Here is a 15414-nt window from a genome sequence, read left to right as displayed (position 1 = left end):
ACTCAGGGACAACTACGTGGCCTTGAAGTCATTCGTTCAGGGGACATACTAGGTGGGGGATCAGATCCAGCACCTTGAATTAGTAACAGTTACATAGACTGTTTACTTGTAGAAGCCTGTCATTTATTCATCCCTTTTGTTATTTGCAAACATCAGCATCCATTTTGACCGCTCCTCCACAGTTCCTTCCCTCTTCCATATTTGGGACACTCTTCCCACCTCCCCTCACCAATACCATGTCCTGGACATCCTGTGAGAGACCCAGCTGAAGTCCCCACCTCATCTATTTGTCTTTCTTGACCACGCTGTATTTAGTCAGTTCTTCTTTTGAATTACCATAGCAGCTTGTGTCTGTCTGTACTTCAAGACTGCCAGTCTGGAAGGGATCTGAAAGATAAAGGGCCTGGCTCAATTTCCTCATTTTTCCAGCTGGTAAAATTCAAAAGAAAAAAAAAAGGAAGGCAATTGCAGTACCTGGTGGGTGGCTTTCTCCACTCCATCAAACCGCACCAGAACTGACCACTTGCTCTTCATTAGCTTTTCACACCTTTTCTTTTGTTTCCTCTGTATTTCATGAGTACACTAACTTACATGGATTTTTTTCTTCTTAGCAGCAATAACAAATAGGCATAGAATACATAGTAGGCATACACACCTCTATGCAAAATTATCCATTAACACTGAAGGAATGTATCTCTGGGGAAGGAAATAAAAACATGTGGTTACTAGAAAGTCTATTTATTGGATAGACCTTTTAATGAAACACCAGTTTTTAATGTACTGTCCGATAACCACTTTTCCCATAATACAGCCAACTTGCAAAAGGAGAAATTTCATATAAACAACATCTGCACTTTGGAGAGAGGTGGACACCCTTCCTGTTTGTTCAGGTCCTTAGGAAAGACAGATTACATTCTGCCTTTGGGTACTGTGAAATGTGATTCCGTTACGATGTCTAACAGTCTGAGCTTTAGAAGCAGTTTATTAGACAGTCATTAAGAGAATAATTCAGTCCTCCCAGAAAAAGTAACGTTTCCCTGGGGACCGAGTTACAATGAGAGCTCTACCCTCCTTCTCCCTTCCTCTACATGTGGTCTTGATGAGGCAGCTGGGGAGATCCCTGTCCCTCTGTCAGCTGCCCACAAAGCTAAGCCTGTTCTTTCAGCCCTGGCTGACGGTAGAAAGTGAGGCTTAAACAGAGAGCTTCAGAAATGTTAAGCCTGAGGAAGAAGAGGAAGTTCTTTAGCTTAATAGTGATTACTGAATTCCTTTTAAATGTGATAAATGACTCCTTTATTATTTCAGCGAGATGCTGTATCCTATTTTTCTATTAAAGATAAGCCCTATGTAGTTAATGTATACTTGCAGATTGCTGAGAGTAGATCTTAAATAAAAATAAGTATGTAAAGGGATGGATATGTTAGTCAGCTTAATTTAATAATTTCACAATGTATACATCAAAACATCATGATATATACCACAAATATATATAATTTTTGTCAATTATACCTTAATAAAAAATATAAATAGACTCTAGCCCTGGCTTTGCCACTATTACCTGTGGGACCTTGGGCGAGTTATTTTTTCTTCCTGCCTCAGGCTCCTGATATGTAAAATGGGGTAAAAATGCCTAACTCAGGCTCATGGTGAGAATTAAAGGAGAAAAATGCTTATCACACTAACACGTTTGCACAACTATAGTATGTGTTATTATCCCTCCTTCAGCCATCCCAAGTAAAGTTAAATAAGATTCAGCTACTTTTCAATTTTGATTTAAAGTTTTATATTTTTAATTTTGGGCTTCTAAAAACAAAATGTTCTAAACCAAGCCCCTGGGTTCCACCTCCCTGTCTCTCTAGTTCAAAGGTCAGGCGCCCTCCCCCTGCGATCCTGTGTGCAAGATTGTCGACTGGGCTCTGTCCGTCTGGCGTCAGCTTAACTCCTGCCTGGCCCGCTTGGGCACACCTGAAGCACTTCTTGGACCAAAATATTTCCTGTCTTGTCCTGTAGTTCCTGGGCATGCCCAAGTGACAGTGAAGTAAGTGCCATTTTTCCTTATCTTTCTGCTTATGATAGAGACGTGGCCAATTCAGATGTTTGAGGGTGAGAATGCTGACCAGGCTGCCTTGTGCCACCTCCTGTCACTGACACGGAGTGCCAGTGCTCTCTGCTCTTTCAGAGGATGGCCACAGCTTGCCTACTGTGTGCTTCCTAGGGCAGCTGCATTTTTGCTGAGAGCTAGGTTTTTCCTCTATTAGAAAATTCTCATCCAAGTTATGTTTGGCTTGCTATGCAGAGTCTCCTGAGTGAGGTACCACATAAGAAGTTTCATCAAGTATTGTATGCACACCCTCCAAAAAACCTGCATTCTGTTAATGAATTGAAAAGCTTTCCCTTTATTGAGACATATGTTCAGTACTTACTGTTTTCCTTTGAAGCATCTTATGAGAACAGACATATATACAATAAGGTTAATGAAATAGAAAATCAGGAGAAAGTTGAAATGAGAAAAAATTTGTTACCATCCAGTTTAGTAATGGTTCTGTGACCAGCAAGCAGATTTGATTCTATAGTTTCTGGTGCCATGGGCAGAAGTCTATTTTGGAAAGCAGGGGATAGAAATAATATCTTCTTAGCTGGATGTAGTGGTTCATGCCTATAATCCCATCATTGGGAAGTTGAGAGGGGAGGATCACTTGAGGCCAGGAGTTAAAGGTCAGCCCAGGCAACGTAGTGAGACCCCATCTCTATTTAAAAAAAAAAATTAGCCAGGCATAGTGGCATGTACCTGTAGTCCCAGCTATTGAGTTGGGAGGCTGAGGCAGGAGGATCAATTGAGCCCAGGAGGTCAAGACTGCAGTGAGCTTTGATTAAGCCACCGAACTCCAGCCTGAGTATTAGAGCAAGACCCTGTCTCTAAAAAGTATATGTATATTTTCTCTATTGTAAGACAAACCACCATTTTTATAACAGCTAATTGGTGGGAAAGAAGTACTATATTAAATATATATTTAGAATTTTGCTACAAAATAAATACACTTATTGATATAATTACCACTTTCTTCATTATTATGTCAGTTAAATTAAAGTCTTTTTTACATCCAGAGTCTCAAGATTCTTAGGAATCATTTTTGACCTCTCCTATATGGAATATAGTCTTTGTCAAGAATTATGGAGGTCCCAAGATTTTTACCCTATTTGCAAGCTACCAAGTTAGCCTGCCATGGTTCAGGATGCTGAGTTAGGGACACAGCACTTCATCACCCACAACACAGCAGGCAGGCAGCCTGAGCTTCACTTTTACATAGATTCCCTTTATCCCTGAAGCCCCACAGGGTGATACATAGTAGCCCATGTGGTTGCTGGATTTGCCTCAACAGCTGTGGAACTCCCCCCTTCCCATCCCTCCAAGGTTTCTAAAGAGGGATGCTGCAACTCTGTCGACCCTTGGCCCTGGAAGATGTTGTTTTTATTATCCTGATCAGGAAACAATTCTGCCCTCTGATCCTGAAGGAGACATTTATCTCTGTCTTCCAAGACTGAAAAGATAGTTTAGAACAAAACCTGACACCAGATGTGCAGAAATGCTGCAGAGAATTGTCTACCAATGGCTAAGTTAAGGAGTTGATTTTTTTTTTCCGACCACAGCTTATCATATTTATACTTCAGCACTTTTAGGAATAACTGCATAATTTCGATTCATGCTGTAGAATACCAGAATTTTGTCTGTGTTCCCATTCGTACTTTTATTTTTCCCCCGATTGTGTAGCACTAGACATTAAGAGAGAAACTTAAAATAGATGGATCATAGTTTTTGACAATTCTTGAAAGTTTTATGCAATGTCTAAGCTTTGAAAACATTCCTAACCTGGGAGATGTGGTTTTGTTTCTATAGCCTTTAATCATATAAGTGTTTTTTAATACTGCAACAAAGCATAATCTTTTTTTGATGGAATTTTAATTGGCATTGAGTGCTGCAAATTTGGGCTGCAGTCCCACTGTTTATGGCTATTAATGCAAACAGTCCACCTGAGGTGATAGCTGATTGACCCCCATCCTCCCTATAGAACTGAGCCCACCCACACGCACCCTTGCCTTGGGACAGGCAGATTTAATTTGCCGGTGATTATACATCCCAGGCTGGGTGCGGTGGCTCATGCCTGCAATCCCAGCACTTTGGGAGGACAAGGCAGGCAGATCCCTTGAGGTCAGGAGTTCGAGACCAGCCTGGCCAACATGATGAAAACCCCATCTCTACTAAAAGTACAAAAATCAGCCAGGCCTGTTGCCACACGCCTGTAATCCCAGCTACTTGGAAGGCAGAGGCACGAGAATCACTTGAACCCAAGAGGCAGAGGTTGCAGTGAGCCGAGATTGCGCCTTGGCACTCCAGCCTGGGTGACAGAGCGAGACTGTCTCAAAAAAAGAAAAAAAAAGTATCCCAATTTCAGAAATATTACAATACAATGTATGTGCACCTTATTAAGGAGATGTAACAAAGAAGTTGAAGCTATTTAGACATGGACTTTTAGGAAATCTTTTTTCCAGATTTTTTCAGTCTTTAAATTTACCTTCCTTTCAATGTGTTTATTCATGCATTTATTCACTCAGCACTCAAGCATTGATTCTACATTGAGAGAGACATGTAAACAATCAGTTTCATTTGAAATACAGTGTATTTTTGAGGCAGATTCAAACACTTTTGTATTGGGTAATTTCACTTCTTTGAAAACTACCTGGGAAAGGTAGCATATCTATAGAAACACTTAACGTTTTTTCCCCATAGTCTTCAAACTGTCCTTTCACGGAATTGTGTATAATTATTGAGAAGCCTGCTCCTAAGGGATGAATCGGTCCCTCTCCTGCTAGGTGGATGTCTAAGCTGTGGAATGGCGTCATCGCACCCAGAGTTCAAGAAGCAATATTGTCAAGAGCCTCTGTGAAAAGACAACCTGGCTTTGGGCAGACAACTGCTAAAAGACACCCTAGCCAAGGACAGCAGGCTGTGGTCAAAGCTGCTCTCAGCATCTTGCTAAATAAAGCTGTACTGCATGGCTGTCCCCTCCCCAGAGCAGGTATGTGGGTTTCTGCAGAGAGGAGAGGAAATTCACACCCTTGTGAAATACCTTTTAAAAGCTGTTTTTAGAGAGCTTTCTTTCTTTGTAATTAGAAAAATATACATCTTATAGCAGTGTTCCAGAACTGTGATTTTAATTACTGGTTAATGTTTGAATTCTAGACCTCCAAGTAAAGTTGGTGCTGGTTCACAAAACCCCAGCTTGGATACTAAATAAATGCATTATTTTGAACAGTCCGTATCTTTGAGAAACGGAAATGTATTTTGCTTTAATCAGTGAAACTGCATTATCCCTGCTGTGATTTGTGTTGTTTCAGAGCTAGACCAGCATACAGCTGATTTCAAAGGAGGAAGTTTCCCTTTATCCATAGTTTCCAGTTATAACACTTGTAACAAGAAGAAAGGAGAGAGTGGTGCCTGGAGAAAGGTGAACACCAGTCCTCGCAGGAAGTCTGGCCGCTTCTCTTTACCCACCTGGAATAAGCCAGACCTAAGCACTGAAGGTAAAGGGCGGGGGTAGGCATGTTGCCTACCAGGAGGTGGACATACGTGATCCAGTGTCTGAAAGCAAATATGCTTTCATTTTTATCACGATGCATTTGGTAAAACAAAGTTTAAGTATTTTAATGCACATTTTCATGGAATAAACTATATAGTAGGTACATTTCCAAAAATATACAGGAGATCTCTACCTGAAAAATACCGCTTTCAAACCAGAATTCCAAAATTAATCTTTAACTTGTTAATGGTCATTTATTTATTATTTTGTTTCTCTTGGTGTTCACAATTTGTATAATCATTGCATTATTACATAATAAAATCATTGGCATATTTCTCCATTATGTCACTCCTAAGTTAATCTTACATTAAAAAAATATGTGTAGAGACATATTTGATACCCATTTAAGGCCTTTCCAGGTGAATCAGGTGTACACATTTCTTTCTTATGTATGACGTGTACCATGTGCTGGGTTTTAGTCTAGGCACTGGAAATAGAGTGGTAAAAAATATATATATTCCGGCCAGGCATGGTGGCTCATACCTGTAATCCCAGAACTGAGAGAGACCAAGACGAGTGGATAGCTTGAGGTCAGGAAGGCGAAACCCTGTATCTACTAAAAATACAAAAATTAGCTGGGCATGGTGGCGCATGCTTGTAATCCCAGCTACTCAGGAGCCTGAGGCATGAGAATTGCTTGAACCTGCGACACAGAGGTTGCAGTGAGCCGAGATCACACCACTGCACTCCAGGCTGAGTGACAGAGCAAGACTGTGTCTCAAAAAAAAAAAAAAAAAAGATCCTGCCGTCATCGAGTTTATATTCTAATAAATTGGACAGATTTCATATGATGGGACATCAAGTGAAAAATATGTAAGCTTTCATTCTAACAAAGAAGATGTAACACGTCTGTATCTTCTGGTGTTAGGCCTATTCCTTTTGGCATTGATAATAAGATAATCAGCTATTATATAAATTATAAATGTCTTTCCCAAAACAAATCCAAATTGGAATAAAAATGAAAAGAAATTTCCACCTCATGTGCACTGTGGACTTCAGATTATGTCATTCATTTTCCTCCTCTCTCAAAGTATTTGTTTTGTGAAATTTTATGCCAACTTTATAGCAGTGGGGTTTCTAAATGAGGTGCTTAAAATCTTATATTTAAAAAACATAAAGTTGCTTTTAGTTATGAGTATATTTTCATTTTTAAGCTTGTATTTTGTTAATTTTAATAAAAATTTAATGTTTTTTTAATCCTATCAATATATGCTAGGGTTCCCCAATTACCCTAAGTGCATGATAGCAAATTGTGACCCCTTTTTAAGTGACTGAATGAAAATTTACTGAATAAAATGAATTTTCTTATACTTTTAAAAAGATCAGTATTTTATATTGATAATAAGATACTGTTTTGATCTTAAGAGCTTGTTATTACTTCCCAGAGTTGTCAGAGTGTTTGATTTAGGGAGTAAGAATCACTAGACTCCAGCCCACCAATTTAGTATAGACCCCCAGATGACTTTCTGTAGCAAGGATTATACCTTTCATTTGCTCTTAGTCCTTTCAGTATGCAAGAAAGCTCCAAGACAATGATAATGATCTCCATTTACAGAGAATAAAACTGAGGTTCAGAAACCCTTGGGCACCTGCTCCAAATCACCTCTCCTGGAAATATGCGGTTCTGTAATTGTTTCTTGCAAGCCCAGTGCTATTTTCTGTAGTCCACAACACCCTGATCTTATTAGACGTGCAGTGATCTATGGGTACTCAGATAACTGGACACCCATTGAGGCTCTTCACTGTGTCATTTCTAAGTTTATTAGAATCTCTATAAAGTTTAAGACCAACTTTTTGAGCTAACTTAATTGTTGGTATATGCTTTAGAGTAGACAAACAGAATCAACAAAATGAATATGAATTTAAAGCAGTATCATGGAAGAGTCTGGATCAGAAAACTATATTACGCTTAAATGTAAAAAAAGATGAATAGACTTGAAATTATTTGTATTTTTAATAATTTTAGTTTTAGAACTATTTGATATCAAATGTTATATTCTTTGAAGCATGAACTTCTTTGACAGAATAAAACTACAAGAGTTTACACTGACTTCAAGGAAATTTCTAAAAGTTAACTTTACAAAGTATATAATTCATGAGTCAGTAGTTGGGTTAGAAACCATGACTGACATGCCTCTCGTTATTTTTATAATGGTAAATTTTTCCAATAATTACACTGTATATATGATTATTACAATGGTTGGGGTGACTTTGGTTAAAAAAAAAAAAAAAACCAACACAGGAATCCTTTTGCATGCAGATCACTATGGAAGCTTATCAAATTTGATAAAGAGACAGCCCATTTCTTTCCTGACCTAAAACAGAAAGGCCAATGATGTCAGATCCCAGGCTTTTAGGGCAGAGCCCAAGGCTGTGCGCTATGTAGTAATTAGTAGAAGCCACTAGTCAGTGCTTTGGACAATAATGACAGAAGTATGACTAAAGAAACTCGACAGTGATTTTCTTTGATCTGCTTTTAATGAGGATATATTTACTTTTCCAAAACATTCTTTAGAGAAAATTTGTGTTGACAACATTAATATTTTTAGAATTCACTCAAAAGCAACTGTTTTAATGCATTCATAACATTGAGTCTAAAATGGTTTATAAGAGTGTTTCTCAAACTTCAACCATAACCCATTGTGAGAAATACATTTTACACCATGATCTGTACACACAAGCCTCTGCATTTGTGTGTATATATAACTGATATGCATCAGTATACCTCCAGCAAGAAATACAGGCTATTTTCTCTTTTTTTAACTGTGTCATAATCTGCAGTTTAAAAAACATATGATTTTCAGCATTTAAATTCTATGACTTTTTGTACCCTGTTCATATTTTCTCTTCTGTATAATGCAAAAGCTGTTAAAAGTTAAATTTCTACAAGTACATGGCTAATGCCACATATCAAAAACTATACTTGATTACATAGTAGTGTTAGAATGCACACAAAGGTAGAGAAAGGGTGATTACCATCATCAAAAGGCAGGTATTAAAATCTTCTTTTGGTCCTTTGAGAACAAGGGCCTAAGGAACTAGGGACTTGACTAAAGAGAAGAACGGCCATCCATAAAAGTGAAATTCAGGATTCTTGACTTGAGCTTCAGGTAGTGTTAGTTGTACCGAGTTCCATCAAAATGTACTCGAGGGAGTTGGCTATTCCTTGACTTTCCCACAGTGCCTCTGCAGGAGGCTATGCCCAGAGCCTCTGTCCTGGGGAAAATCTCCTCAAATCCTGGATACTAATCCAAGAACAGTATGAAAGTACTGCAAAGTCCACAGTCTGTTTCTTTTAAATACAGAATTCAAGAGGCACAGGGATAATGATCTATTGAAAATGGTTCTCTTTTTTAACAGGTATGAAAAATAAGACTATATCACAGCTGAATTGTAACAGGAATGCTTCTCTGTCAAAACAAAAGTAAGTTCCCCTTTCAAATTTAACTCACAGCAAACAAAGATAAATCAAGTAACTTCAATTACTATTTTAAATGTTCCATGTTCTCATTTGAATGACTATTATGTTAATATGGTTTTAAAAAAGTTATATATGTCATTCAAATGCTGATATTAAACTGAAATCTAATGGTGTCTTTGGATAACGTCTAAATTGTTCGTTAAGATTAATATAATGCAATATGAAGACTATTTTGCTTGTAATTTGTTGAATAAGGTTAGAAATATTATAGGTTTCATTTGATCAAATTTTGTTTATGCATTTGTGAACTTTTAGATAGTCATTAGATGACTTTTCCACAGATTTACAGAAACAGTATGACTTTTTTCTTTTTTTTGGAGACAGAGTCTTGCTCTCTTGCCCAGGCTGGAGTGCAGTGGCATGATCTCGGTTCACTGCAACCTCCACCTCCAGGTTCAAGCAATTCTCCTGCCTCAGCCTCTTGTGTGGCTGGGATTACAGGTGCCTGCCACCGTGCCTGGCTAATTTTTGTATTTTTAGTAGAGACGGCGTTTCACCATGTTGGCCTGGCTGGTTTCGAACTCCTGACCTTGTGATCCATCTGCCTAGGCCTCCCAAAGTGCTGGGATTACAGGCGTGATTTTTAAGTGCTATAAATTTACAGTGATAATTTATTATATTGTTCCTAAGAAATAGACTATTTCAGCTTACAAATATCAAGGTATAAAGGATGATTTGGACAATTATAGAAATGTTTAGGCAGTTTGTAAATAGGTCCCCATGATAGCCCAATAAATTGTGTGCCCTGTCACTTGGCATGTAACATTTAGGATCATGTCCGCTGGTTTGCAGCATTACAGAAGAGGGGAGGGTAAAGAGAGAGAAGGGAGATGAAGGAAACTGCATGGCACGCTATTTTCTGCCAGGACCGCAGCTAGATCCATGACCTGCAACAGCCTGTATCATTTTTCCAGCAACCCTAGGATGTACACATAAGGGTTATTTACAGAAAAGGGAACCCAGGAACTGAGGTGTTAAGAAAACCTGGTGCATGGTCATATTGCTAGCTAGCAATAGAGCCAAGTTTGAAATCCGTGTTTGTCCCATTTTATCACATTGTCCCCTATGCCACAGTGTTTAGCATCCTATCTGGCCTGGGAGACAAGAAACGGCAAGAATAAGGAGCTTGGAATATTGTACATCAAAGTGAAGTTCTTTGTGAAACAAAATTTTATCCTCTCAAGAATTTTGAGTAGGAGTTACCAAAATCCTGTGGAAATTTCTTGCATTAAATGACATTTATGAAATACTTTAAAGGCTATTAAAAACATTTTCCCTACCCCACACCAAATCCCAAAAAAGGTACAGTGTCTAGATTTCCAAATTGGGAATTGTTCTCACTTTGAAAAACGTTTTTCTGAACTTTGTGTTAGGTCTTTAGAGAATGATCTATCACTGACGTTGAATTTGGATCAGAGACTCTCTCTGGGTTCAGATGACGAAGCAGATCTTGTCAAGGAACTTCAGAGCATGTGCTCCAGCAAGTCTGAGTCTGATATCAGCAAGGTGAGCAGTACAAATGGGGGGCATTGAATGGCTCTACTCAACAGCTGGGAGACTTTTGGGGGACCACAATTCCCTAAAAGAAATTCCTTATTGATAGTATGGTTAATGATCCAAATCAAACCATCCCTCACCTTGCTTAGAAAGGCCGTTTCTTCCTAAATATCATTTATACAATAAAGGAGCTCTACTTTGTGAAGCCTGCTTTTCCAAACTCCTCCAAGACCTGAAGTTAAAATTGTATGTTAATTGCATTAGTACAAGTCACATCAATTCATTTGGGCAGCTTTTCTTTTTTATTTTTGGAGATGGAGTTTCGCTCTTGTCGCCCAGACTGGAGTGCAGTGGCGGGATCTTGGCTCACTGCAAGCTCCGCCTCCCGGGTTCAAGCAGTTCTCCCTGCCTCAGCCTCCCAAGTAGCTGGGATTACAGGTGTGTCCCCCACAACGCCTGGCTAATTTTTGGACTTTTTAGTAGAGACAGGGTTTCGCCATGTTGGTCAGGCTGGTCTTGAACTCCTGACCTCAGGTGACCTGCCCGCCTCAGCCTCCCAAAATGCTGGGATTACAAGCGTGAGCCACTGTACCCAGCCTGGGCAGCTTTTTATATAAGCCTAAATTTGAGTTTCCTCAGATATTTTTCCTTTCCACATTCCTAACTTTGGCATATCAGTCATCTATCAGTAAGAAAATTATAACAAGCATCACAGCAGACTTATGTTATAGACCAAGCAACAACTTTCTTTGCAAATGAGAAAAAGAATTAGCTTGTATAATGCATATCATCATAATCTCTAAGCTGTGAAATTTGAGACCAAATATGGAAAACAGTGACCTGAAATCTCACAGAAAACATGGACAGCATCAAGTTCAACCTGTTTTGGCACTCTAGTATCTGCAGCAGGTTTCACCGAGCTGCCTTGATAGATGCCTTATGAGTGGCTGTAACGTTCAGCTTCCCCTGAGACACTCAACTGTATTATTTGAATCGTCATAATATCTACGACAAAGTAGAATTCACTCTTATTTAACTTTGTTGGAAACAAAGTATATATCCACTGGAAAAGTAAGGTAATGATTAAAATCTTGCAAATTTTATATCCTTTCTTTACTTGCAAAGTGCCTTTTTTTTCCCTAGAGAGTTCTTCTGGTCTTCTTTTGACGTTTTAAGTGGATTCTTTTTCCTTAGAGGATGTTTCTCATGCATTTGCTGTCAGTTTTACATTAAGACTTGAAGTCTTTCTTTCATGTGAACAGTTCAGGACTTGAGGGGCAGGGAAGAGGATAAGAGTAACACTTCTGCTGTGATTTCTCCACCATTTAGCTGTGCCTTGAGTATGCACAGTGTGACTGTGGAGACATGACCGGGCAAATTCTGTATTTTCTAGATTGCTGATTCCAGGGATGATTTAAGGATGTTTGATAGTTCTGGAAACAACCCTGTACTTTCAGCAACTATTAATAATCTGAGAATGCCAGTGTCACAAAAGGTAAGTGTCCCTTTCTCCCCAAAGTGAACAAAGGATGATTGCTGTGGAATTGACTTCACAAATCATCTTTCAGTGTGAATCACAGAGTTATTTTTTTAAACCAAAGCTAAGAACTGAGAAATAGGATAAAGGTAAAAGTGTTCATTAGGTTTTAGAAAGAGTACTTATAGAATATTTTGGAAAAAAATGACATAGGAAAGCATTACTTTTTTCCCTTCAATTTGATTCCAAAATTTTGGGTGTCTGTTGAGATCTCCATGTTTTTTTTTTTTTCATTTTATATGACAAAACTAGAAATATTGTAGTTCTGCCTTATCCTCAGGTGATGCCTGAAATCTAAGATAGTACCAAAGTTTATATACACTATATTCCTTCAATCCGATAACCTAGAGGGCTACTAAGTGGTCAGTGTGTGGGTAATGTAGACAGAATGAATAAGTTGATTCACATCCAGGGCAGAACAGAGTAGGATGGTGCAAGATTTCATCATGCTACTTAGAATGGCCTGCAAATTTATGAATTGTGTATTTCCAGATCACAGAAAACAAAATTGTGGATGCGGGGGTACTAAGGTAACAAAACTGTCATCTTGGTTGTTCCTAAGGTTTCCTGCATTTTAGAAAATTAGAGTTAATTATAACAAAACAAAGCACTGAGTGATAACATAAAGGTCTTATACATTGCAAAAAAAAAAAATCTCAATTTTATTTCATCCTGACTTTCCATAACATGCATTACATTTCAATGAGACTTTAAAAATAAGTCTGAATGGCAACTAGAAGAACCAGGATTCCAGTAGACTTCCTTAACCTTTTGAAATAGCTTCCATGACTACAGCACTGCACCATTATCAGTTGGTTAATAAATGGCAAGAGCTGGCACAGCATGGTATTCCTGGGTGAGCAGAAACAATGAGAAATGTCTCACTCATTAGTTGTGAGGATGCAGACTTCACAGAAGCACTTTGTAATATATGGTTTGTTCACCAAACCATGTTGATTGATTGTAAGCCACCTTGGGAGTAGATGAGAACGGCAAAGACCTGTGTGTGGGTGGGAAGGTGGGGCGCAGAGAGCAGGATTATAAAGTAAGCATGGTGAGACTATTAAGTTATTAAGCTTTATCTGATCACCTAGCGGCACTGGGCCCCACAGCCCCGCTCCCTCACTGCTTCATTAAGTTTTGATCCTGGCTATTACATGTGGAACTATGTGAGCTGCATGCATTGGGAGAGCAGGTATGGGAGTGGGAATTTACACGGCTGGGGGCTCTAATACAAAATATTTAACATGATGTCCTGTGAAGAAAAGCATGGCTTTCAAGCTCACTCTATCATAATGTCTGCCTTTTTTTGTTCAACTGGGAACAATTTAGAAGCCCAGCAAAATTTGGAGGATGACCTAAGAAGGTGACCTGGAGTCAGCACTGAGCCTTCTGGTTGGAAAACAGTCTAGGGCCCATCCCTTTGCTATCTTTAAAGCCTCAACTCACTCCCCCTGTATTTATTGGCTTGCTCTGAGCTGTGCTTGACTGGACGCCAGTCTCTAGGACCCAAGAATTTAGGATTCCTTGTGGAACATCGTCAGTGGAAGGGGCCAGGAGGATCTTAGCAAGAGGAACAGTGAACCACCTTCCCCATAAGCCCAAATCACTTTCTTGTGTAAAAATAGAGAATGGCTGCTGCTTAAATGTCTAATAAAGAAACAAACATTGTCATACCCCTATTTCTCTGTCACATGACCATATTGAGTTGCTACAATAAGGTACTGTCCACAAAAAAAAAGTAGTACTGAAAGTCAAAGTTCTGGGCAGCTTTGTTTAAGATATTTTTTAAAGCGAGTCCTTTTATACTATCTGGGCTCTTATACAAAGAAAAAAAAACTATGTTATTGTTTAAATGTGCAATTTGATGTGGGAATTAGGACCGCTGCCTCCTAGTCTTCTCTCCCTTTGCCCACTGAAGACACTTATTTGGAGGGACTCTTCCCCAAGAGCTAGATGATGTTTTTCTCAGAAAGTGCCAGCAGAGGGCAAAGTGGTACTTACTGTTGGCAGCCTTCTGAAACCTTGACTGGCTGATGCCTTTTCTCTTCTCCTACTCAGCTGGTATTTCTGGGTTAGATGCCCAGTTTCTTCTGTTATCAGGAAGTATCTCCATTTAGAGGTAAGAGTTTCCTGGGTTAGTTGAAATCACTTTCTCCTTCATGGCCAGAAGGCTGGCAATGCCTCCATTGAAGAGGGGCCCTGCAACCATCATTATCTGTTGGAAAACAAAAATGAGTAAGTTATCTTTATTATTTGCAACAATATAACTCCTCACTGCTCTAACAGTAAGGGAGAGTAATTGGGTTTACTAATCAAGTGGCATTTAGCAGGCCTTCTGAATTAAAAACAAATATACATATTTAAATCAACAGGAAGAACAAATGTTAATAAATGTTTTCCTTTTATGTAAATCCAAACTAATCCTCTGAAAGGACAAGTTCACATCTTTGGTTGCATGATGAAATCCACTTGAGGCTTCTTTTTTTTTTTTTTTTTTAACTTCAGGGCCTGGACTCTAGTCTGAGGGGAAGCCTGGACAATGGGTTTTTTAAAGGTCCCTGGTGATTCTTACATGCATCCAGGGTTGAGACCCACTGTTCTAAAACATAGCCCTGATCTGTCATCTTCATTTTCCACCCATTTCTTTCTTTCCAAATATATCTTTAGAGGGATTGAGATGCCTTCATGTAGCTTTTCACATGTTCCTTTTTTACATGTAATTTACTACTTCCCTCTGTACTCCTCCCCATAGAACCTTCTCTCGTCACAGTCCTGTGCCTCTTTAAAGACTCACCCCCAATGCCACCTTCCCTACATGTTGTTCTTTTCCTCCTGCCCCTAACTTTCCCATCTAGAGGAATTACAATATCTTCTTAGCTTCTAGTAGATGCTGTGTATTGAATGAATTGCTCTGATTTACCAATTCTTTAAGGCTAAATAAAACTTACTTTAGGTCAGTGCCTTTCTACACAAATTAGTTTTTGAGTTTAACATGCACAGCAATATGGATAGTAAACGTTATACATTTAATACAGATAATTCGGGGGTTTTAGCCCAGGAAGCATTAAACACCTGTAACTCTCCTGCTCCTAAACTCCGCTGCCCCCTAGGCTTGACTTCCAGGGTGTCAGGAGCACTTTTCAGGCAGGATGCTGTGCATTGGTCACCTGCTCTATTCTTGCACTCCTGGCCTTGAATTGCTGTGGCTCACGCTAAGCCCAAGTGATTCTCCATGTTCTCATCCTAACTCCTTCCATTCT

At 39.0% G+C, this 15414-nt stretch overlaps 1 protein-coding gene and 1 long non-coding RNA gene across 10 annotated transcripts in view, besides 2 other annotated features; one reads left to right on the top strand and one right to left on the bottom strand.

Moving 5' to 3' along the window:
* The window catches only part of CTTNBP2 (cortactin binding protein 2), a 162791-nt gene that overhangs the window by 143315 nt on the left and 4062 nt on the right, over window positions 1-15414 (top strand). For 7 of the 9 annotated variants that reach the window (NM_001363351.1, NM_033427.3, XM_024446964.2 and 4 more), the window contains exons 17-22: window positions 1860-2038; window positions 4870-5075; window positions 5395-5580; window positions 8997-9060; window positions 10491-10623; window positions 12008-12109. In NM_001363351.1, the coding sequence (NP_001350280.1) occupies window positions 1860-2038; window positions 4870-5075; window positions 5395-5580; window positions 8997-9060; window positions 10491-10623; window positions 12008-12109 (870 nt within the window). Of the gene's footprint in view, window positions 1-1859; window positions 2039-4869; window positions 5076-5394; window positions 5581-8996; window positions 9061-10490; window positions 10624-12007; window positions 12110-12643; window positions 14159-15414 lie in introns of those variants that run through there. The other 2 variants (XM_017012706.3, XM_047420933.1) reach the window with 2 other exon arrangements.
* On the bottom strand, window positions 102-14244 carry LOC105375469 (uncharacterized). The gene is made up of 3 exons (XR_927902.3): window positions 14156-14244; window positions 475-696; window positions 102-387 (listed from the first exon to the last, which is right to left on the bottom strand). It is a non-coding gene; the product is annotated as an uncharacterized LOC105375469 (long non-coding RNA).
* Window positions 13702-14781: an enhancer blocking element, noted in NCBI's record as "candidate insulator 7-1-1; CTCF association and DNase I hypersensitivity in multiple cell types". NCBI's record gives its function as "blocks activity of the beta-globin HS2 enhancer when located between the enhancer and the Agamma-globin gene promoter in a lentiviral reporter assay in K562 erythroleukemia cells {active_cell/tissue: K562}" and the evidence as "EXISTENCE:reporter gene assay evidence [ECO:0000049][PMID:24098520]".
* Window positions 13733-14532: a DNaseI hypersensitive site, noted in NCBI's record as "DHS+48.9kb, or +48.9 kb or Ubiq DHS observed in multiple cell types; the nucleotide coordinates are approximate for this feature". NCBI's record gives the evidence for it as "EXISTENCE:in vivo cleavage assay evidence [ECO:0001075][PMID:19897727, PMID:21895967, PMID:22955617]".

The sequence above is a fragment of the Homo sapiens genome, chromosome 7 (genome assembly GCF_000001405.40).
Source record: "Homo sapiens chromosome 7, GRCh38.p14 Primary Assembly".
Classification (NCBI taxonomy): Eukaryota; Metazoa; Chordata; class Mammalia; order Primates; family Hominidae; genus Homo; species Homo sapiens.
This window is presented reverse-complemented; position numbering and strand designations above follow the sequence as displayed.